Below are 24,585 nucleotides of genomic sequence, written 5' to 3' on the forward strand. Positions count from 1 at the left end.
TTCCTTAGATGTAATAACTATAATAAGGGCTACAAACTGGGGCATTATAGAACTACTCCTTTTCTTAGATTTTTAAATATTTCCCCCCCAACCACAATATGTTTATTTGTCTTGTGCCCAGTATTTATTCATCTTTTGTCTTCTCCATTTCCATTGTCCATCTTCCTACTCCTTTGAGAGAAGAAATCCGTTTGCTTATTCTCTTTTTTCTTTGCCTTTCCTTTAAATGTATACCCTCTAGTATTGCCTATTTGAAATTACTTATTCAAGCTTCCTTGTGAGTTTTCAGGGAGGCATGAACAAGCTACAGAAGAAGAAAACTCTTTAGTAGCCCTAAGGCAATAGAGGCCTCTAAAACCACTAGTTTTCTGGTTAAACCAGACAAACGCAGACCAGTGACCTAAGAATTTTTGTTAGATGATTGAAAGTTCACTGACTGATTTCTAACCTATATCCAGATAATAATTCAGATCTATGGTCTATTTGAAACCTTTTTCCTGTCCCCTTCTTTTCTATGTCTATATCGACCTCTTGCTTCACACTTAAATTGTCACTGAACTTTAAAAAATTATTCTAACCTTGTAATATATTTTGATATCTGGTAGCACTAGTTGTTCCTCCAGTCCACTAATAAAGTCAGAACTAGGTCCTAAACCCATGTCTCTATATCTGTTTATGAATTTGGAATACGTAAAAACTTTGCCATAATACTTGCCTGAGGAACTCTGAGGTTTAGATATTGGATCTTCAACAGTGTCTCATATCTCCTTACTAAAGAACTGATAAGTACCTTTATTTAGAGTGGTGGTGTGTCCAGAGTTGGTTCCTTCCGATGGGTTCTTGGTCTCGCTGACTTCAAGAATGAAGCTGTGGACCTTCGCAGTGAGTGTTACAGCTCTTAAAGGTGGCACGGGCCCAAAGAGTGAGCAGCAGCAAGACTTATTGTGAAGAGTGAAAGAATAAAGCTTCCACAGCGTGGAAGGGGACCCGAGTGGGTTGCCACTGCTGGCTGGGGTGGCCAGCTTTTATTCCCTTATTTGTCCCCGCCCACGTCGTGCTGATTGGTCCATTTTACACAGCGCTGATTGGTCCATTTTACAGAGTGCTGATTGGTCCATTTTACAGAGTGCTGATTGGTGCGTTTACAATCCTTTAGCTAGACACAGGGGGCTGATTGGTGCATTTTTATAGAGTGCTGATTGGTGCATTTACAATCCTCTAGCTAGACACAGAACATTGATTTGTGCATTTACAATCCTCTAGCTAGACAGAAAAGTTATCCAAGTCCCCACTAGACCTAGGAAGTCCAGCTGGCTTCACCTCTCAATCCCCGCTCTAAACAGGACACCCGAACTGCTGTTAGGAATTGGGCAATGACCGCTCTAGCTACTTCCTGCTGGATAGGGGTGAAGAAGGGGCCCTGCAGTTGTAGTGTCCTCCAGAGGGGAACTCTTTAGGCCAGTCAAAGGGCCGGCAGGTCGGTCCATGGGTCCTCAGTAGAAGTTGCTAGTTGAGCTCATTTGGGGTTCCATTTGTAAGACCATCTGTAGCTTGATGGCCTTGATCCTAGAAGAAATAAATTTGACAAGGAGGTTAAAAATATAGGGCCCAAAGGCGAGTAATAGCAAGATGGCTGTCACGGGACCTAGAAAGGGGAGAAGCCATGTCGCCCAACTCCAGAGGTTGGTATAAGAGTTTGAAAGTTGTTGTCTGATTTCAGAAGCCTTTTCCTGTAAACACCAGGCAGAATCTCATACTATCCCTGACTGGTCAGTGTAAAAACAACACTCTTCCCCTAAGAAGGTGTAGTCCTCCTTTCTCAGCAGTGAGGAGGTCTAGGCCTTGGCGGTTTTGGAGAGTCACTGCTGCCAAAGAGTCTATTTGGGATTGTAGTGTAAGGATAGATTTCATTATTTCTTGCAAACTATCTGAGAAATCCTTTGAGAGTGTGTGGTAGTAGGATAATTAAGTAGATAAACTGGCTATTCCAGTTCCTGTAGCAGTAGTCATTCCTAACCCTATAAGTAGGGGTATTAGTTGTATGGCTCTGTACTGACGGACTTGAGCTTTGAGGGGCACTGATAGGGTCTGATTTCCTGGGGCAGTGTTAATGTTGGGACTTAGGAAGATTAAAGTGCAGGTGCCTGTCCAGTTAGTGGGGAGGCAGATATAGGTTGATGTTCCACATAAGAAGAATATGTCTTAGCTGGGTAGACAGAACTGGTTGTGTATGTTAAAAAGGTGTGTGAGTCTGTTGTTTTCATTTTCCCATACTAATAGAGTACTTGCCAAGGTAGCTCTGGTGAGTGGCTGGAAAGGGGTGTTGGGAGCAAACTGAGTGGCTCCCTGTGTTCTATTTTCCCATTGGAGAAAAAACTAGGAACCATTCGAGAGGGTGATTGAAAGAGGGGATGAAAAGCCATTCACTAGTGGTGGGGGCACTGCTGCAGGGGGGTCTGGGGTGAATGGTCACGCAGGGAGTATGTTTGCCATTACAAAACCTGGACTGTTTGTTAGTAAAAGGATTCCATTAAAGGGGCAAGGAGCGGTGTTAAAGATAAAGCTTATGTAGGTTTTCACTTATCTTTTTTAAGGAGGAAGGGGTTTTTCCTCAGGATCAGCAGGAGGAGCCTTTTTAGTCTGGGATGTTTCCTTCTGAAATAGGAGACACAAATCCTCCAACGGTTTGCAGGTGTATCAAGGCTGGTCTGGCAGATCCTGGGACTCCTGAGCTGACGGTCCTGCAGGTTCCTCAGGGGATGTCCAAAGTTTAACTCGGGTGTGGTGAATCCAAGATTCCACTCCTGCCACCTAAACTGCAGTGGGGGTAGAGAGGATTACTGAGTATGGTCCTTCCCACAAAGAATCCATAGATGGGGAGGTAGAGGGGAGGGATTTGACCAACAATAGATCTCTTGGTTGAAGCAACTCCATTCCCTTTTCTCTGTGACATCCTTCAGGTAGGTTTTTGTACTCCTAGAATTGGGGTGTTGCAGGGACTACTGCATTTTCTTACTAAGCCTTGAGCTTTTAAATGTCTAACAATATCCTGTAATACTTTATGAGCTTCAGGTCTTAAGGGATATTGCTTTTGATAAGGAAAAGTGGTGGGGTCTTTTAGCCTGATTTGGACTGGGTGGGCATTTTTTGCCCTTCCGAATTGTCCTTCCAATGCCCAGACTTCAAGGTTGATTCCCTCCTCAAATAGGGGACAACAAATGGGTAACTTGTTCCCCATATTCATGTAGATCATAGCTTCAGCTTTGGCTAATATGTCCCTCCCTAATAAGGGTGTGGGACTTTTAGGCATAAGAAAGGCATGTGAAAAGAGCAAAGTCTCCCAGTTACAAATGAGGAGGTGGGAGAAATACCTGGTTACAGGCTGTCCCAGGATTCCTTGGATGGTAACGGGCCTTGAGGACAGCTGTCTAGGATAGGAGATAACACTGAGAAAGACACGCCAGTGTCCAGGAGGAAGTCAATTTCCTGGCCCTCAATGGTTAAACATATCCGGGGCTCAGTGAGGGTGATGACATGAGCTGGCGCTTGTCCTGGTCACCCTCAGTCCTGTTGTTGGATCATCTGTTTGGGGCTTCTGGCCCAGAGAACCTTTGTCCTTTGGGGCAGTGTGCCTTCCAGTGATTGCCTTGGCATAGTGGACATGGGCGAGGAGGCAGCTTGTTTCTTGTTGGACAATCTTTTTTAAGGTGTCTTTGCAAACCTCACTGGTAACAAGCCCTACCGGGTGATTGGCCTGCTCCATTTTCTGTCCTCTCTGAACCACCAAGGTTTGTTTGTCTGAAGGCCATGACTAAGGCTGCAGCCTTTCTCTGATCTCGCTTTTCCTTTTTGGCCTGTTCCTCTTGGTCCCTATTATAGAACACCGAGGTTGCCAGGTTTAATAATGCCTCCAGATTTTATTCAGGGTCCAGGGCTCACTTTTGGAGGTTTCTCCTGATACCTGGGGCTGATTGGGTAATAAAATTATCTTTTTGGATCAGTTGACCCTTGAGGGAGTTGGGTGACAGGGGAGTATATTTTCTTAAGGCCTCCCATAGCCGCTGGAGAAAGGCAGAAGGATTTTCTTCCTTTCCCTGAGTTATGGTGGACATCATTGAGTAATTCATGGGCTTTTTCCTAATTCTCCTTAGTCCTTCTAGAACACAGGTCAACAGATGTTTGCAATTCCAGTCCCCATGATCTGAGTCGAGGTCCCAGTAGGGATCCATTACCGGGGATGGCTTGCTGACCAGTAGGGAATTTGTCCCTTTCTTCAGCTGTCATTCTATCATTTACTTGACTAAGATACCAGATATCTTCAAACTCTTGGGCTGCAGCTAAAACTGCATTGTTTTCATTAAAGGCCAGGGTTTGATCTAACAATAGCATGACATCTCTCCAAGTGAGATCAAAGGTTTGCTCTAGGCTGTGTAGGACATCTATATACCTATCGGGATTGTCTGAAAACTTCCCCAGGTCTGCCTTGATCTGCTTTAAATCAGAGAGGGAGAAGGGGACATGTACCCAGGTTGGGCCAAATTCCCTTCCCCCTACAGCTTGAAGGGGACATAACCGATAGCCCAGGGGTTTTTGTGGTCCCTTGGAGATTTCTTTGCTTGCTTCCTTCTGGGTGGGGGAGATTAGAGGAGGCTTATCATTAATAGGAAGGGGAGCTGTAGAAAGGCTAGTATATGGAGGTAAGCTGAGAGGTTCTGCTGTGGGATGTAAATTGCATGCTTTGCATAGTTGTGGATTCTCCTTCAATGAAAAGAAAGCTTGGGCATAAGGTATTTCACTCCATTTGCCCTCCCTGTTACAGAAAAGGTCAAGCTGCAGGATAGTATTGTAATTTATACTTCCCTCAGGTGGCCATTTTTCCCCATCAGACAGAGAATATTGGGGACAGGCCATAGTGCAGAAAAAACATGAGCTACTTCTTTGTCAGGGTTTGCAGGTCAAATTGGTCCCAATGGCTTAGGATACATTTCAAGTGTGAGCCTGTTGATACCTGAGTGTTTCCCATCTGAAAGACAAAACTGCCCATGGTTTTGGGTTGTTTGTTCCCCCCACAGCCCAAGAACCTGCAACGGTACCTGGACCCTGCTGATCGGAATAGTTGGGCTCACTGACACAGCAGCAGATCCCCCTCTTGCCCAAGAACCTGCAGCAGTCCCTGGAACTTGCTGATCAGAGTAGTTGTGCTCACCAGTGCAGCAGCAGAAATACTAGTTTTCCTCCTAGACCACAAGGAGGACCAAGGAAGGTCAGATTTAGTGGCCCTTACTGACACATTCTCAAAAACCTGCACCCTTGCCTGTCCTCATAGAACACAAAGAGGACAGAGAAAAATCGGATATAGTGGCCCTGACACATTCTCGAAAACCTGTTAGAGTCCTATGCGCTCTCCTGTTAGTATTGGGACCTTACCCCTGTCCTATAAAGATGGTATGCCCCAAAACTGAAGTGGAGGGCCATGCCCTGAGGGAGGGAAGGGATCTCCAGGGTTAGAAGAGTGACACCTTTTGTCCTCACTTCTCATCATATGAATAGGAAGGATATAATTTCTGAGGCTCCCCATATCCTAGCTTCAGGAATAGCTTTTGTTAGGCCTGCTAGTCTGAGGATGGATCCTAAAATTCCAGATAGTCCCCCACCATGGGGCTTTGGGCAAAAATTATGTCTTTCTGATTGGTGAGCCCAGGTGCCTAAAGAAGGGAACAGAGTCCTGAGGTTTATACTAGAAATTATTCTTATAGGAGAAACTAGAAAAGCACCAGAGATAGGAAGTGGTTTTTAGAAGTGGGACTAGCCTTGGAGAAGAGAGGTGAGAGGAAATTTGTCTGACAGGCGTTAGGACCCAAGAGGCAAGGGTCAGTATAGATAGGATAGATGGGTGAGTCTCGCTTGGACGACATGACTTTGAGAGTTCTGCTCATAGCCTCAGGGTCAACCAACTTGTTGTCAGGACCCCAGAGCTGAATGGCTTTCCTCTCTGTTGACCTTTGGCTGAGCCCGGAAGTACAGGAAAAGCAGAAGCTTGTTCCAGGCAAACCAACACTCCCAACTCCGAAGCATTGGGGTTTGTTAGAGAGCCCTTTCCCAAAAATCCTGACACCCATGTCTTTAGTCCGGCAGCCACGCTAGTTGCTTTTAATTGGCCAACAGGTGCCTGGTATTTAGCCCCCAAATTCTAAGGAAAAATAGAACAGAATAGCAAGAGAAAGGGGTCCAATGGTACTCACCGCTTAGTGATAGGTGATAGTCCCTTCGTGTTTGCCAAGATGTGTCCAGAGTTGGTTCCTTCTGGTGGGTTCCTGGTCTCACTGACTTCAAGAATGAAGCCACGGGCCTTCATGGTGAGTGTTACAGCTCTTAAAGGTGGCACGGACCCAAAGAGTCAGCAGAAGCAAGATTTATTGTGAAGAGTGAAAGAACAAAGCTTCCACAGTGTGGAAGGGGACCCAAGCGGGTTGCTGCTGCTGGCTGGGGTGGCCAGCTTTTATTCCCTTATTTGTCCCCATCCACATCCTGCTGATTGGTCCATTTTACAGAGTGCTGACTGGTTCATTTTACAGAGTGCCGATTGGTGCATTTACAATATTTTAGCTAGACACAGAGCACTGATTGGTACATTTTTACAGAGTGCTGATTGGTGCATTTACAATCCTCTAGCTAGACGCAGAGCGTTGATTGGTGCATTTACAATCCTCTAGCTAGACAGAAAAGTTCTCCAAGTCCCCACTCGACCCAGGAAGTCCAGCTGGCTTCATCTCTCAGTGGCAGGAATAATTTTTGTCCTGTCCTGGTTTTTTTTCTATGGGTGTCTCAGAGAATGGTGGGATTAAGGGAGGACTCCTTTTTTCTTTAAATTCCCCAGGGCAAACCCCAGATGGGTCTTCCTTCTTGCTTGTTTATGCCAGGAAGAACTCTGAAGTTTACTCTGTCTACTGGAACATGCAGAGTGCAGTAGAGGTTTATTTGTCTATGCACTGTAATGATGGGGTTGTGAGGTCCTCGTCAAACTTGTTTCCATTTTATTCCTTTAAAAAATGTTTCCCATTCCATCATCCTGTGTCTTGACTCCTAATAGTTTTATTTATTGGCATGTGTAAGTTTTGCCTGGGAATATCTACACATTGCCTGGGAAGTATAAAATCTCCAATGTGGCAGGTTTATCCCTTTGTCCCTCTAAGTCACTAGTTGGTAATTTTTCTTTTTATTCATATACATTTTACCAGGGATTATGGAGTCTCTTTGACCCTGGCAGTGAATCACTAAATCTGGCTTACCTTTTTCTATACTTGGGTTGATCATTATTACTAAGGTTTTCCTGATGTTCTTCCTCTTCAGGTGGGCTGATATTCAGTCAGTTGACATTAATAGGATTGAACTCTTTTTTTGCAGTGAAATTCAGTTGTTACTTGTCTGTGCTTCTGCCTTGGGGGTCATTGAATATTTTGAATATCTATGAAATGTCTAAGATTCCTTGCTTTACCAATGTCTGTGGCCTCCTCATTGTCTTTGGGAGTGTTCTAACTGGACTATTTATAGTTGTTATATGGACCTTATGCACTAAAATAATGACATTTATTTATTCTATGACCACTCTGTTTCCCTGTCATACGTTACTCAGCTTCTGCTTTTAACTGGGTACATATTCTTAACTATATCATTATCTCCAGATTGTAGCATTTTGTTTTCTACTTCTTTCTTCCTCCCCATTTCCTTCCTTCCTTCCCTCCTCTCTTTCCACTCATATGGTTTAGTGGCATGTGAGAACTTCAGTGTGGTTAGAGACTCTGCCAATGGGGATAAATTTCATGTACTGTACAATGCTGATGTCATCTGGTTTCTTGACATATGTCCTGTACTAACTAACTCTCAATGAAAGAGATAATTAATGAAGACATGTGTTTTAACAAAGTTATATAACTGCATCAAAAGTCACGTGTTGTAGGTGCCCCCCCCATGTTTTAAAGCAATTCAGAAGTACAAGTTAATAAAAATTAATAAAAGAGATCAAAATAATTTACATTTTTAACATATTATTTCTACACTACAGAGGGTATTTTTAAACATATCTTGTGGAACCCACAGCCTTCTTTGGCAATCATTGATTCAAAGTACAAATCAAAATCCCTATATGTATGTATCCGGATTACTCTCACAGTAAAATACAAATGTCTTATATTGGTCGTATTCTGATTGAATGACTTTTTAAGACCCGGGTTTAAAGAGGTATAGTTTACATAGAGTTAAATTCACTCTTTTAGATGTACAGTTTGAAGAGCTTTGAGAAAAATGTACCATCATGTAACTACCAATACAGAAAGCTGTATAACCTTTCCTTTACTCCAAAATGTTCCCTCCTGCCCCATTGTAGTCAATCCATATCTCTGTCAGTTCCTGACAACCACTGATTTGATTTCTGTCCCTATAGTTTTTCATTTTCCAGAATGTCATACAAATGGAATCATAAAGTATATAGCCTTTTACTTCTGGCTTCTTTCACTTAGCATATTTTTAAAATATTCACCAATGTTGTTGCATATATCAGTAATTTATTCCTTAATGTAGCTGAGAGGTATTCTAACATATGGATGTTCTGCAATTTGAGTATCCAATTACCAGTAGATTTGTAGTTTTTGGCAATTATGATTAAAGTTGTTAAACATTCTAGAATAGGTCTTTGTGTATACATAAGTTTTCATTTCTCTTGAGTAAATACTTAGGAATGGGATTTCTTGGTTTTATGGTAGGTGTGTGCTTAACTACATTAGAAATTGTCAAACTGTTTTCTAAAGTAGCTGTGACATTTTGCATTTCCACCAGCAATGTATGAGAGTTCCAGTTGATACACATCATTGCTAGAAGTCGATACTGTCTGTATTTTATTTTATTTTTAATATTAGCTATTCCTTTTTTTAACTTTGAACCTTTTTTTAAAATTTTATTATTATTATACTTTTAAGGTTAGAGTACATGTGCACAACGTGCAGGTTTGTTACATATGTATACATGTGCCATGTTGGTGTGCTGCAACCATTAACTCGTCATTTAGCATTAGGTATATCTCCTAATGCTATCCCTCTCCCCTCCCCCCACCACACAACAGTCCCCGATGTGTGATGTTCCCCTTTCTGTGTCCATGTGTTCTCATTGTTCAATTCCCACCTATGAGTGAGAACATGCAGTGTTTGGTTTTTGTCCTTGCGATAGTTTGCTGAGAATGATGGTTTCCAGTTTCATCCATGTCCCTACAAAGGACATGAACTCATCATTTTTTATGGCTGCATAGTATTCCATGGTGTATATGTGCCACATTTTCTTTTTTTTTTTTTTTTTTTTTCTGAGACGGAGTCTCGCTCTGTCGCCCAGGCTGGAGTGCAGTGGCGTGATCTCGGCTCACTGCAAGCTCTGCCTCCCGGGTTCACGCCATTCTCCTGCCTCAGCCTCCCGAGTAGCTGGGACTACAGGCGCCTGCTACCACGCCCGGCTAATTTTTTGTATTTTTAGTAGAGACGGGGTTTCACCGTGTTAGCCAGGATGGTCTCGATCTCCTGACCTCGTGATCCGCCTGCCTCGGCCTCCCAAAGTGCTGGGATTACAGGCGTGAGCCACCGCGCCCGGCGCCACATTTTCTTAATCCAGTCTATCATTGTTGGACATTTAGGTTGGTTCCAAGTCTTTGCTATTGTGAATAGTGCCACTATAAACATACATGTGCATGTGTCTTTATAGCAGCATGATTTATAGTCCTTTGGGTATATACCCAGTAATGGGATGGCTGGGTCAAATGGTATTTCTAGTTCTAGATCCCTGAGGAATCGCCACACTGACTTCCACAATGGTTGAACTAGTTGACAGTCCCACCAACAGTGTAAAAGTGTTCCTATTTCTCCACATCCTCTCCAGCACCTGTTGTTTCCTGACTTTTTAATGATTGCCTTTCTAACTGGTATGAGATGGTATCTCATTGTGGTTTTGATTTGCATTTCTCTGATGGCCAGTAATGATGAGCATTTTTTCATGTGTTTTTTGGCTGCATAAATGTCTTCTTTTGAGAAGTGTCTGTTCATATCATTCGCCGACTTTTTGATGGGGTTGTTTGTTTTTTTCTTGTAAATTTGTTTGAGTTCATTGTAGATTCTGGATATTAGCCCTTTGTCAGATGAGTAGATTGCAAAAATTTTCTCCCATTTTGTAGGTTGCCTGTTCACTCTGATGGTAGTTTCTTTTGCTGTACAGAAGCTCTTTAGTTTAATTAGATCCCATTTGTCAATTTTGGCTTTTGTTGCCATTGCTCTTGGTGTTTTAGATGTGAAGTCCTTGCCCATGCCTATGTCCTGAATGATATTGCCTAAGTTTTCTTCTAGGGTTTTTATGGTTTTAGGTCTAACATGTAAGTCTTTAATCCATCTTGAATTAATTTTAGTATAAGGTGTAAGGAAGGGATCCAGTTTCAGCTTTCTACATATGGCTAGCCAGTTTTCCCAGCACTGTTTATTAAATAGGGAATCGTTTCCCCATTGCTTGTTTTTCTCAGGTTTGTCAAAGATCAGATAGTTGTAGATATGCGGCATTATTTCTGAGGGCTCTGTTCTGTTCCATTGGTCTATATCTCTGTTTTGGTACCAGTACCATGCTGTTTTGGTTACCGTAGCCTTGTAGTATAGTTTGAAGTCAGGTGGCGTGATGCCTCCAGCTTTGTTCTTTTGGCTTAGGATTGACTTGGCGATGCGGGCTCTTTTTTGGTTCCATATGAACTTTAAAGTAGTTTTTTCCAATTCTGTGAAGAAAGTCATTGGTAGCTTGATGGGGATGGCATTGAATCTATAAATTACCTTGGGCAGTATGGCCATTTTCACGATATTGATTCTTCCTACCCATGAGCATGGAATGTTCTTCCATTTATTTGTGTCCTCTTTTATTTCATTGAGCAGTGGTTTGTAGTTCTCCTTGAAGAGGTCCTTCACATCCCTTGTAAGTTGGATTCCTAGGTATTTTATTCTCTTTGAAGCAATTGTGAATGGGAGTTCACTCATGATTTGGCTCTCTGTCTGTTATTGGTGTATAAGAATGCTTGTGATTTTTGTACATTGATTTTGTATCCTGAGATTTGCTGAAGTTGCTTATCAGCTTGAGGAGATTTTGGGCTGAGACGATGGGGTTTTCTAGATATACAATCATGTCATCTGCAAACAGGGACAATTTGACTTCCTCTTTTCCTAATTGAATACTCTTTATTTCCTTCTCCTGCCTGATTGCCCTGGCCAGAACTTCCAACACTATGTTGAATAAGAGTGGTGAGAGAGGGCATCCCTGTCTTGTGCCTGTTTTCAAAGGGAATGCTTCCAGTTTTTGCCCATTCAGTATGATATTGGCTGTGGGTTTGTCATAAATAGCTCTTATTATTTTGAGATACGTCCCATCAGTACCTAATTTATTGAGAGTTTTTAGCATGAAGGGTTGTTGAATTTTGTCAAAGGCCTTTTCTGCATCTATTGAGATAATCATGTGGTTTTTGTCTTTGGTTCTGTTTATATGTTGGATTACATTTATTGATTTGTGTATGTTGAACCATTCTTGCATCCCAGAGATGAAGCCCACTCTATCATGGTGGATAAGCTTTTTCATGGGCTGCTGGATCCGATTTGCCAGTATTTTTTTGAGGATTTTTGCATCAATGTTCATCAAGGATATTGGTCTAAAATTGTCTTTTTTGGTTGTGTCTCTGCCAGTCTTTGGTATCAGGATGATGCTGGCCTCATAAAATGAGTTAGGGAGGATTCCCTCTTTTTCTATTGATTGGAATAGTTTCAGAAGGAATGGTACCACCTACTTTTTGTACCTCTGTTAGAATTTGGCTGTGAATCCATCAGGTCCTGGACTTTTTTTGGTTGGTAAACTATTGATTATTGCCTCAATTTCAGCTCCTGTTATTGGTCTATTCAGAGATTCAACTTCTTCCTGGTTTACTCTTGGGGGGATGTATGTGTCGAGGAATTTATCCATTTCTTCTAGATTTTCTAGTTTATTTGCATAGAGGTGTTTATAGTATTCTCTGATGGTAGTTTGTATTTCTGTGGGATGGGTGGTGATATCCCCTTTATCATTTTTTATTGCATCTATTTGATTCTTCTCTCTTTTCTTCTTTATTAGTCTTGGTAGCGGTCTATCAATTTTGTTGATCTTTTCAAAAAACCAGCTCCTGGATTCATTGATTTTTTGAAGGGTTTTTTGTGTCTCTATTTCCTTCAGTTCTGCTCTGATCTTAGTTATTTCTTGCCTTCTGCTAGCTTTTGAATGTGTTTGCTCTTGCTTTTCTAGTTCTTTTAATTGTGATGTTAGGTTGTCAATTTTAGATCTTTCCTGCTTTCTCTTGTGGGCATTTAGTGCTATAAATTTCCCTCTACACCCTGCTTTGAATGTGTCCCAGAGATTCTGGTATGTTGTGTCTTTGTTCTCGTTGGTTTCAAAGAACATCTTTATTTCTGCCTTCATTTCATTATGTACCCAGTAGTCATTCAGGAGCAGGTTGTTCAGTTTCCATGTAGTTGAGTGGTTTTGAGTGAGTTTCTTAATCCTGAGTTCTAGTTTGATTGCACTGTGGTCTGAGAGACAGTTTGTTATAATTTCTGTTCTTTTCCATTTGCTGAGGAGTGCTTTACTTCCAACTATGTGGTCAATTTTGGAGTGGGTGTGATGTGGTGCTGAATAGAATGTATATTTTGTTGATTTAGGGTGGAGAGTTCTGTAGATGTCTATTAGGTCCGCTTGGTGCAGAGCTGAGTTCAATTCCTGGGTATTGTTAACTTTCTGTCTCATTGATCTGTCTAATGTTGAGAGTGGGGTGTTAAAGTCTCCCATTATTATTGTGTGGGAGTCTAAGTCTCTTCGTAGGTCACTAAGGACTTGCTTTATGAATCTGGGTGCTCCTGTATTGGGTGCATATATATTTAGGATAGTTAGCTCTTCTTGTTGAATTGATCCCTTTACCATTATGTAATGGCCTTCTTTGTCTCTTTTGATCTTTGTTGGTTTAAAGTCTGTTTTATCCGAGACTAGGATTGCAATCCCTGCCTTTTTTTGTTTTCCATTTGCTTTGTAGATCTTCCTCCATCCCTTTATTTTGAGCCTATGTGTGTCTCTGCACGTGAGATGGGCTTCCTGAATACAGCACACTGATGGATCTTGACTCTTTATCCAATTTGCCAGTCTGTGTCTTTTAATTGGAGCATTTAGCCCATTTACATTTAAAGTTAATATTGTTATGTGTGAATTTGATCCTGTCATTATGATGTTAGCTGGTTATTTTGCTCGTTAGTTGATGTAGTTTCTTCCTAGCCTTGATGTTCTTTACAATTTGGCATGTTTTTGCAGTGCCTGGTACTGGTTGTTCCTTTCCATGTTTAGTGCTTCCTTTAGGAGCTCTTTTACGGCAGGCCTGGTGGTGACAAAATCTCCCAGCATTTGCTTATCTGTAAAGTATTTTATTTCTACTTCACTTGTGAAGCTTAGTTTGGCTGGATATGAGATTCTGGGTTGAAAATTCTTTTCTTTAAGAATGTTGAATATTCGCCCCCACTCTCTTCTGGCTTGTAGAGTTTCTGCCAAGAGATCAGCTGTTAGTCTGATGGGCTTCCCTTTGTGGGTAACCTCACCTTTCTTTCTGGCTGCCCTTAACATTTTTTTCCTTCATTTCAACTTTGGTTAATCTGACAATTATGTGTCTTGGAGTTGCTCTTCTTGAGGAGTATCTTTGTGGCATTCTCTGTATTTCCTGAATTTGAATGTTGGCCTGCCTTGCTAGATTGGGGAAGTTCTCCTGGATAATATCCTGCAGAGTGTTTTCCAACTTGGTTCCATTCTCCCCGTCACTTTCAGGTACACCAATCAGACATAGATTTGGTCTTTTCACATAGTCCCATATTTCTTGCAGTCTTTGTTCATTTCTTTTCATTCTTTTTTCTCTAAATTTCTGTTCTCGCTTCATTTCATTCATTTCGTCTTCCATCGCTGATACCCTTTCTTCCAGTTGATCACATCGGTTACTGAGGCTTCTGCATTTGTCATGTAGCTCTCGTGCCTTGGTTTTCCGCTCCATCAGGTCCTTTAAGGACTTCTCTGCATTGGTTATTCTAGTTATACATTCGTCTAATTTTTTTTCAAAGCTTTTAACTTCTTTGCCATCGGTTTGAATTTCCTCCTGTAGCTCGGAGTAGTTTGATCATCTGAAGCCTTCTTCTCTCAGCTTGTCAAAGTCATTCTCCGTCCAGCTTTGTTCCATTGCTGTTGAGGAGCTGTGTTCCTTCGGAGGAGGAGAGGCACTCTGATTTTTAGAGTTTCCAGTTTTTCTGCTCTTTTTTTTCCCCATCTTTGTGGTTTTATCTACCTTTGGTCTTTGATGATGGTGACGTACAGATGGATTTTTGGTGTGGATGTCCTTTCTCTTTGTTAGTTTTCCTTCTAACAGACAGGACCCTCAGCTGCAGGTCTGTTGGAGTTTGCTAGAGGTCCACTCCAGACCCTGTTTGCCTGGGTATCAGCAGCGGTGGCTGCAGAACAGCGGATATTGGTGAACTGCAGATGCTGCTGCCTGATTGTTCCTCTGGAAGTTTTATCTCAGAGCAGTACCCGGCCGTATGAGGTGTCAGTCTGCCCCTACTGGGGGGTGCCTCCCAATTAGGCTACTCGGGGGTCAGGGACCCACTTGAGGAGGAAGTCTGCCCGTTCTCAGATCTCATGCTGGGAGAACCACTACTCTCTTCAAAGCTGTCAGAGAGGGGCATTTGTCTCATTCTGGTTTTACTTGCATATCCTCAATTACTAATGCTGTTGAGCATATTTTCATGTGTTCACTTGCTATTCATATGTCTTTTCTGATGAGGTGTCTGTTTAAATTCACTATTTTTATTTGGTTATTCAATAATAATCTTATTATTGAATTTTGAGAGTTCTTTATATATTTTGGATAAAAGTCCTTCATCACATAGGTGTTTTGCAAGTATTGTCTCCCAATCTGGGTTTTCTTTTCATGTTATTTTTTGAAAAGAACTTGTTTTCAAGTCCAATTTATTAATTTTTTATGGTCCATGCTTTTTAAATCCTAATAAATCTTTGCCTAGACCAAAATCTTAAAGATTTTCTACTTTTTTTTACAAGTTATAATTTTTGGTTTTATATTTAGGTCGCTAACCCATTTTGAGTAATTTTGTATATCTTCTTAGCTGAGGGGTCAAGAAGAATATTTTGGTGTGTGATGTCCAGTTGTTCCGTACCATTTGTTGAAAAGACCGCCATTTCTTCATTTAATTACCTTTGTCCAAAATCTGTTGGCTATATTTGATGGTCTCTTTGCATTCTATTGATCTATAGGTCAATCCTATGTCAATAAGAAACTGTCTTAATTACCATAGCCTTGAAATCAGGTAGTATGAATCTTCTAACTTTTGTATTTTTTTCTCAAAATTTGTCTGGCTGTTCTGGTTCCTTTGCTCTTTCCACATACATTTTGGAATTAGCTTCTCAATTTCTATGAAAAACCTACTGGGATTTTGATTGAGATTGCAATAATTCTACAGAAATGTTGGGGAGATATAACATCCTAAAAATTAGTATTTCAGTTATTCAGTCAAAGAACATGGTATATTTCTCTATTTATTTAGGTCTTATTTAATTTATCTCATCAGTGTGTTGAAGTCTTCAGCATTCAAATCTTGTACATAGTTATCCTCCCTTAGTATTTCCCAGTTTTTGATGATATTACAAATGGTACTCTTTAAAACTTGAAATTCCAAATTTTATTGTGTAGAAATAAAATAAATTATTTTATATTGACTTTGTGTCTGGCATTATTATTAAACTTACTTATTAGGTCTCATAGCTTCATAGCTTTTTTTTGGTAGCTCCATTGGGATTTTCTACATACATCATCTTGTCTGTAAATGCAATTTTACTTCTTCCCTTCCAATCCGTACATAATTTATTTATTTTTCAGGCCTTATTGTAATTGGCTGGGATCGCCAATGTAATGCTAAATAAAAGTGGTGAAAGCAAACATCCTTGCCTTGTTTCTGATTTTAGGGGAAAAGCATTCTATGTTTTACCATATGATGTTAATCATAGGCTTTTTATTTTTTGTTTTTTTGTAGATGTCTTTAATCAGGTTGAGGAAGATCCATTAAACTCTTACTATGCTAAATGTCTTTTATCATTATTTGTGGAATGTTGTTAATGCTTTTTCTGTAAAAATTGAGATGATTTTTTTTCTCCATTTTAGTCTGTTGATATGGTGAATAATATTGATTGATTGATTTGCAAATGTTGAACCATCCATACATTCCCAGGATAAACTCCATTTGGTCATAATGTATTATTCTTTTTCCTTATCATCAGCTTTGATTAATAGCATTTCGTTAAGGACTTCTTTGTCTATGTTTATGAGAGATATTGATCTGAAGTTTTCTTTATTTGTTATTTTCTAGTTTGGGTATCAGGTTAATGCTGGTATTATAAAATATGTTGAAGAGTTTTTCCTCCTTTCCTCACATAATTGTCATCTGGCTTGCATAACTTATATTATTTGTGCTTCAGTTGGAGCCTGGAGTGCTACAAGATTTTTTTCAACGATTTTCCACTCTAAATTTTCAGTAGTCTCTTCATACTTGTGCCACCAGCAGAGAGTCTCTCTTCTTACTCTTGTTCACATGACAGCAGTTGACTGCTGTTATTATCAGGTGCTAGGCTCATGGTGAGGTAGGAAGTACTGTCTGTTGTCCTGTCTAGCCACAGCCTTAGCGGGGCTCTATGAACATGAACCTTTAGGGCAAGGCTTTCTCATCATTCTTTCCTCTCCCCATGGCAGCTAACCTCTGATTTGTATATGTAGTTGGTCTTTGGTCAGATATATTTTCTTGCCTCTTTCTCAGGCTGCTTTTCATTCATGTAAGAACTGGGTTAGAGAGGGTTCCCTCCAGGGCAGAGGTTTTTCCCTTCTACTTCTCCCTGAGCAGCAATGGATCTCTGCCTTTGTCCTGGAAATTAGGGGGTTTCCTATCTCTCCCTCCCAGGCAAGTAAGTTTTGCTTCTACCCTTCCACCAGAAGCAAGGGATTTTTGCCTGGGTTCAGGAGAGGGTTTGCTGCTTCTCCTCTAGTGTCTTAAGGCTTTGCTTCTCATGACAGAAAGGTTCTGTGGGGTTGTATGTCTGTCCCCCAGCAACAGCTGATTACCTTCTGCATACCAGAACCAGTGACATGGACTCTTTTAGGTCTCCTGCTTTGTCCTGAGTCATTTTTCTGAGCTTCTGGTTAAAGACTGTGAAAAAGAACTTGGCATTAAGTGTGTACGTGTTGGGGTTCCAGATATTCCAAACTGACAAAGCTAACGCATGCTTTACTTTTAAAAGTTCATTAAAATTTCAGCTTGTATGACAGTCACTTCTGTCTCCATGCTTGGACAGAGGTTCATATGTTTTGTCTTTCTTTAAAGGGGCTGATTACCCTTTGGAATTCACTTTAACTCAGTTCCCTGATAGGCTCAAGGAAAGTTATGATTTCATATGTTATCTAGAGATTTATCATTATTAAGTTATGAATGACATTCTCTTACAGCTTTTTATATCCTAAGTGGAAGTGTAACTGGTGCTTTTGAAAAAATATACGTATGGGTCTTATTTGGGGAATTTTTGTTATTAAGTATGCTTTAGGAAGAAGCAGATGCTTTCTAAGGCATACTTGCAAAGACTTGCTTTTTATATAATGGTTATTACTACATTTTTTCATTTAAATTTTTATTATTTGAATTGCTATACATTAAAATCATACTTTAAAGTATAATACACTATACTTGACCATTTTTTGTATACGGTTCTCTGGATTTTAACATATATAAAGATTCATATAACCACCACCACAGTCAGAAAAGTTTCATCACCCTCACAACTTCCTTGGTTTGTCCTTTTATAGCCACACCCTTCCCCACCTGTAACACCTGGCAACACTGATCTTTTCACCACAGCTATACTTTTGTCTTTTTGAAAATGTCATATAAATGAAATCACAAGGTATTGTAAACACACCCTAGATGACCCACCCCTTATATAATCCCCATGGTAAGAAAACACTTTTGGCTTCTATCATCATTGTCATTATTAATAATAATACTAATGTTGTTATACAGAGTGAGTTGGTTATGGCCCTCTCTTCCAGGAAATAACCATCTAATTATTAAATAAGATCATATGTCAAGTGCTTGAGAACATTGCCTGGCACATAGAAAACTTGTGTAGGTATTAGATATTATTATATCTGTAATGTTATCTATCTTTATCATAAAAATATTAATATTGCAGTATTAGCATTTGCTATTATTAGTTATCCTTTTTGTCCACCTCCTTCTACAAATTGGTGAAATAGAAAATATTGTTCATGGAATTAATCTTTTCCTTTGCATTTCATTTTGAAAATGGTGCCATAGTATAGCATTTCCTGATTTATGTGCAATCTAGAAAATATCCAAAATAAAGCAAAAAAAATTTTAACATAATTATCATACTCTGTGGGCATTTGTTTTTTTCCAAACATGTGAAATGAAGGCAGAATGAAAAATACTGCATTATAAAATATATAATAAAATAAATCTCTTCATTTAAATAAAGCCATATATATATTGGCCTGATAATCCTCTTTAGATTATGTATTAATACCTTGAAAGCATTGAAAGGATTAATTGTATAATAAGAATTTTGTTATTTTCATTGTAATTTTTTTTTTTTTTTTTGAGACAGAGTCTCGCTTTGTCGCCCAGGCTGGAGTGCAGTGGTGCTATCTTGGCTCACTGCAAGCTCTGCCTCCTGGGTTCATGCCATTCTCCTGCCTCAGCCTCCCAAGTAGCTGGGACTACAGGCACCCGCCACCAAGCCTGGCTAATTTTTTCTTTTTTTGTATTTTTAGTAGAGACGGGGTTTCACCGTGTTAGCCAGAATGGTCTTGATCTCCTGACCTCGTGATCCACCTGTCTCGGCCTCCCAAAGTGCTGGGATTACAGGCGTGAGCCACTGAGCCCATCCTTTTCATTGTAATTTGTATAAGATCAACTATTTTGTTCTAGTACTAGAAAAAAAGACTGGAAAACAGAGAGGCTTTGGTAAGATAGAAGTTTAATGTTCCACTAACTTAAAGAGATTGGAATGAGGTGATCCCCATTATTGAGTGGTTTAGGGTCACACGTCCCTAGTGAGTTGCATCCTTTTCCGAAGTCACTTTGTGGTCCAGAAAGGCTGCCTGAACTCTCTATCATGATCAAATTCTGGAAAGCAAGAGAAAGGGGGAAAGTGGAAAAAAAAAGCCCAAGCTGGTTATTTATCCCCCTTTAGAGATGCCTTCTCTAGAATCTTCACAGCAATTTCTGCTTGCATTCTTTGGCAAGAAATTCCATCACATGACCATGGCTTGCAGTGAGGGAGTCTGGGAAAGACAATATTTTAGGAGATTAAACTGCCACCTTCAATACAACTGGTGTTCTGCTAATGAGGAAGAATGCAAAGAGTGGATCTTGGGTGAGCAACTAGAAGTTTCTGTCTCATTCATTACAAATATGATATACGATTGTAAAAAAAAATTAAACCAGTAACAGAAGTCTATAAAAGATTGTAAGGGAAAATTTCCTGTGACAGAGAGAACGCTACATGTTTGTCAACCTCTGTCTCATTTTTCTCCTGGGGTCACAGGGAGATTACATTACCCAGCCTCTATGCCAGTTGGGGATCCATGCCTAAATTCTGGTTAGTGGACTGTTAACTAGCAGTGATGTTTGCCAGACCTGACCACTAAAACCTTCCATATGGCTCTCCATCCTCCCTCTTGTTTAGGCTGTTAGCTAGATGCAAAGAATGTAATGAAGGTCTTTAAGACCCAAGTAGATGGTAGAGCCACAGGATGGAAGAAGATTGGGTCTCTTAATGACTGCTTAGAACAGAGAAACTTGCCCCTATTTGGCCACGTGATGCCTTACGTTGAACCTTGACATCAGCAAAATAAACTTTTGGGGGATTGAACCTCTGAGATTTAGGGGTTGTTTATAGCACACAGCATTATATACTCTAATTATTAGAGTCCCCAGTAATACACCAGCCTAGAGATGGCTTTCATTGATTTATTGGTATTTTTATTTTAATATTAATGCTTATATAAAGGTGAATGTTAAAATTGTAATTATATATATATGAGTAATACTACATATTATATGATACAGAAGCCAAATAAAATACTTTATTCCCCAAATCATCACTAGTGATAATTACAATTGACTTTCTGAGTTAAATCAGAAATCTATACTTAAATTTAACATAGAATTTTGATGAACAGAATGTACAAAGTATATTTCGGACCTGTAAATAAAGACATAAATTTTTAAAAATTAATTCCCCTCACATTGAATCACCCAAGTGAAAACAACAAAACATAAGAAACAGAATTGCCGGCCGGGCGCGGTGGCTCACGCCTGTAATCCCAGCACTTTGGAAGGCCGAGGCAGGCGGATCATGAGGTCAGGAGATCGAGATCATCCTGGCTAACACGGTGAAACCCCTTCTCTACTAAAAATGCAAAAAATTAGCCAGGCATGGTGGCGGGCGCCTGTAGTCCCAGCTACTCGGAAGGCTGAGGCAGGAGAATGGCGTGAACCCGGGAGGCGGAGCTTGCAGTGAGCCGAGATCACGCCACTGCACTCCAGCCTGGGCGACAGAGTAAGACTCCGTCTCAAAAAAAAAAATAAAATAAAATAAAAAATAAAAATAAAAAAAGAAACAATTGTTAATTATCGATGAGGGCATATGAAATGAGTGCTTTCCTGGTAAGCCAATGATTTTAACATCTAGCAAGAAATAATCACATATGTGAAGAAATCTGTGAAACTTTCCTGAAGGGTTTTAGAGAAGAACTGAATAAAAGTAGAGACGTACCATGTCCTGGAAACAGAAAGAAAAACAAAAGAATTATAAAGAAATAAAGTCTCCCTCAAATAATGTACAGTTTTTGTGTAATCCAAATCAATATCCTTAGCGGTCTATTTTAATGGACTTGACCAGCTGGGTTTAAAATTCACCTATGGGGTTAAGATGCCAGAGATGGCAAGAAAAAAATATGTAAGGAATATTAGTAACTGTGTTTTGATTGAAATATGATAAAGTGATTTGCTACCTCTTTTCTTCAAGAAATCACACACCCTAAGGTTTTGAATAGAAATTAAGCACACTTGTTGACATTTCACTTAAAAGTTTTTTAAAAAGGAACATTACTGCAGTTCAACACTTCAGCGGTTTCTCTTGGCAATTCCCCCTCCCCTGATCCAGGCAGGGGCTTTCTGTTCTTCATACAGCCAGGGGGCGGACCCTCCTCTGAGCCTCTAGGAAAGGACTGTGCCTGGCCAGTCTTGGGGGAGGAGCTGCATTTCACCAGGCTGCAGCTGACAAGAAGCTTCAAGGTAATGGCTGTCTCAAAGCTACTTATTTTCTAGTGACTTCTCAGGTTCTTAGAGTAAAGATAGGAAAAATAGGGATGGCAGTCTTGCAGTGGTGGGAAAGGTGTGTGGTTTTGAGAATTGCTGGCATTTTGAAGGAGTTAATCCTCTGGAATTTTTGTATCTTCCAATGCTTTAGAAGTCCACAGTGGGAGAAGGGGTGATCAGATTACAGCCTCTAAATTAAGGCTTCAGTGCAGCATGACTGTTCCTGCTAATTTATTGAGTTGGCATCCCCTGTTTATATTGTTAGACACTCCGTTATTGTTTGAATATTTAGGCATTTATTAATTTGCACAGAAAAATAACTTAGAAGTATTTGACAGTATGGGGGGAAATACACCTATAAGTTGATTGATACATAAAAAGACTGTATGTGTCACATGTACATGAGCATGGAAAAGGGATCAAATATGTAGTTGAGTGAAGATACTTGCACATAATATATGCATGTATATATGTGATTTTTAAAATCTGGAGGAAAATAATCTCTCATGTTAACAGCATTTCTATGTGGCCAGGTCACCATTTTAATATTATTTTTTAAACTATTTCAGCATCTTTAGAGTAGATTACTCAGTGATTATTTTTATAATCATGAAATAAAAAGGAAGCTGAAACAGCATACCCATTTTGTTTCAAATACATAAACACACATAGACACACAAAGACATGCTCCCATATCCCCCCTGTCTTCTGCCAATAGTGGAAATTTTCCTGGACTTGATCAAGTGGGTAGCATAGTTGCCGTGTCAACTACAGGCCTGCATGTGTCCTCCCTGCAGTTTATTCTTTCAGATCACAGATACCAGCATGGTCAGGAAGAGCCATGTTTCTGTATCATCTAAGTTTAAGAGTGAGAAACAGAGGATTTGGTTTATTTCTATACGCAGTTTTCAAAATATTATATGGCATGGTACATCTGTACAATGAAATACTATGCATTTGGCAAATGCCTGAGAAACAGTATAAGGTGAAAAAAATTATATAATAGAACATACTATATGTTCTCACTTAAGAATAAATATGTATGTTAGTATACCTATGTATGTTACTACATACAAATCAGGAAAAACATATCTATGAAAGTTTTAACAGGATTACTTGCATAGTTGTAGAGACAGGGATAGCTTTACCATTTTCTACTTTTTAAAATTATTAATATATATTTATCTGGGGTTTGTTACATCTTCGGGGAAATATTGAGATAAATGCTACAGGCTTGGGGGAAAACCTCATTTAAAGTAATTTATATCAAATTATGTGGAAAATATTTAGGTGAATGATGTTCAAGCTATGCTCTTGAGTGGAATCTGAAGCTGGTTTCAAATTTTCAAATGAGATACATTTATCTTTATATGTAAAAAAACTTCTAGAAATACATATAGTAAATATTGATAGTGGTTATTTGTCTAGAGTTGTACTTTATTTTACATATACCTTTTTGCATCTTCTCAATTTTTAATAAGCTTCTGGATGTTTTCATAATCAGAAACACTGTAGTTGAAGACATTATGATCTGGTTAGAATCCCACACAACAAAACCTTTAAATTTAACATAGAAAATTCTAGAAGCCTGAGAAGACTCCTGGCTAGCTGTATGTAGTCCTTATGGAATAAGGATGGAAACTACATCTGATAGTGAGTGAAGTCCCCTTCAACTCATGAGCAGTTCTGGTTGTCATCATAAGAGGGCACTAGACAGATTTTCTAAATTTTTTCCAGCCAACCATTGTTATGAAGTAGACAAACAAAGCAATGAATCTATTTTGTATTAGTAAACTATGAGACAGCATGTAATTGCAATTCCATTGAAAAAAAATTGTATGTGTAAAGAAGAAAAATTCCACATGATAACTGATGTGAGCATTCAAACAAAATCTACATTCTGACTCATAGTATACACAAGACAATTGTTACTTCTTTTTTGCCTATCTCCACTCCACCATACTTTTTTTCAGAGATGATTTCAACATAAACAAAATAGCATAAATTTATCCCAGAGAGCATTTCAAATTATAAAAATAAGAAGGAAAATAAACATGGCATCTACATCACGGATGAAATTTTGCCTCATTCCTATGTTTTAGAATGACATGCCTGTTAAAGTTTAGGTAGGGAAAATTCTTGACACTTTTCCCATTTCGTTGGTTTTATTCCCTGCCTTCCTTTTGAACAGCATAGGTTAATATCAGAGAAGCACATGACCTGGGCAATCTGCATGTGATGCCAACCAAGCCTTGGAAAGACAGTGCAACCACAGAAGTGCCGAGCTGGGTAAAGGCCCTGCTGGACAAGCAGTTGGAGTGAGAATCAAGACAGCCGGACCACAGGACCAGACCCACCAGGATCCACATGACAGTGGGTAAGACTCTTCCCATTTCATAAAACATTTCACGGTAGAAACATGTTGAGAACTTGGAGAATAATGTATTTTGCCTCCTGCTCTATAGCCATCCTAGCATTTTAAATTAAAAGCCATATTTCATGTTAGAATCATGTTAGGTTGATGATTTGGGGTACAATTCATTTTGCCCCCTGTTCTGCAGCCATGACACTTTATAATTAAAAGTCGTAACTTCTAGTTTGGAGAAGAATCTCACTTTTTAAACGATTATAAAGAAATCATGCAAGAGGCTATTCAGGTGTCTCCCTGAGGTTCAGGCCAATGGCCTGACTCTCCAATCCTTTATAATGATCCTATCCAAGAAGTTGTCATAGCAGTAATTCTGAATCTCTGCCTTCTAAAATTATGCTTTTAGAAGAGTCATTGTATTTTTGTTTGGGTCCAGGAGATACAGACCCTATTGTCTTTGTCTGCCTGCTCCAGGTGAACAGTGGAGCACTTGCAGCTTAAAAAATACAAAGCTGTGTTTTCAACTAGAACATTGCTCCTCAAAGAGTTCTTTTTAAACATGTAGCATTAGAGGCACTTGAGAACTTTTTAGAAATACAAACTTTTGAGCACAAGCCAAACCTTCTGAATAAAACTCTCATGATGGGGCCTAGAAATATAAGTCCTTCAGATGATTCTGACACATGTTAAGTTTGGAGACCCACTGCT

The 24,585-nt window shown here is 39.7% G+C and overlaps 1 protein-coding gene across 10 annotated transcripts in view; it reads left to right on the top strand.

Annotated features, from left to right (window-relative positions):
• Positions 1 to 24,585, top strand: part of PWWP3B (PWWP domain containing 3B) — a 40,652-nt gene that overhangs the window by 11,980 nt on the left and 4,087 nt on the right. For 4 of the 10 annotated variants that reach the window (NM_152423.5, NM_001171020.2, XM_047441824.1 and 1 more), the window contains one exon: positions 23,701 to 23,886. The gene's annotated coding sequence lies outside the window, so the exon portion shown is untranslated. Of the gene's footprint in view, positions 1 to 21,354; positions 21,486 to 23,700; positions 23,887 to 24,585 lie in introns of all 10 variants that reach the window. The other 6 variants (XM_047441823.1, XM_047441822.1, XM_047441825.1 and 3 more) reach the window with 2 other exon arrangements.

Source organism: Homo sapiens, chromosome X (assembly GCF_000001405.40).
Source record: "Homo sapiens chromosome X, GRCh38.p14 Primary Assembly".
NCBI classification, from domain to species: domain Eukaryota; kingdom Metazoa; phylum Chordata; class Mammalia; order Primates; family Hominidae; genus Homo; species Homo sapiens.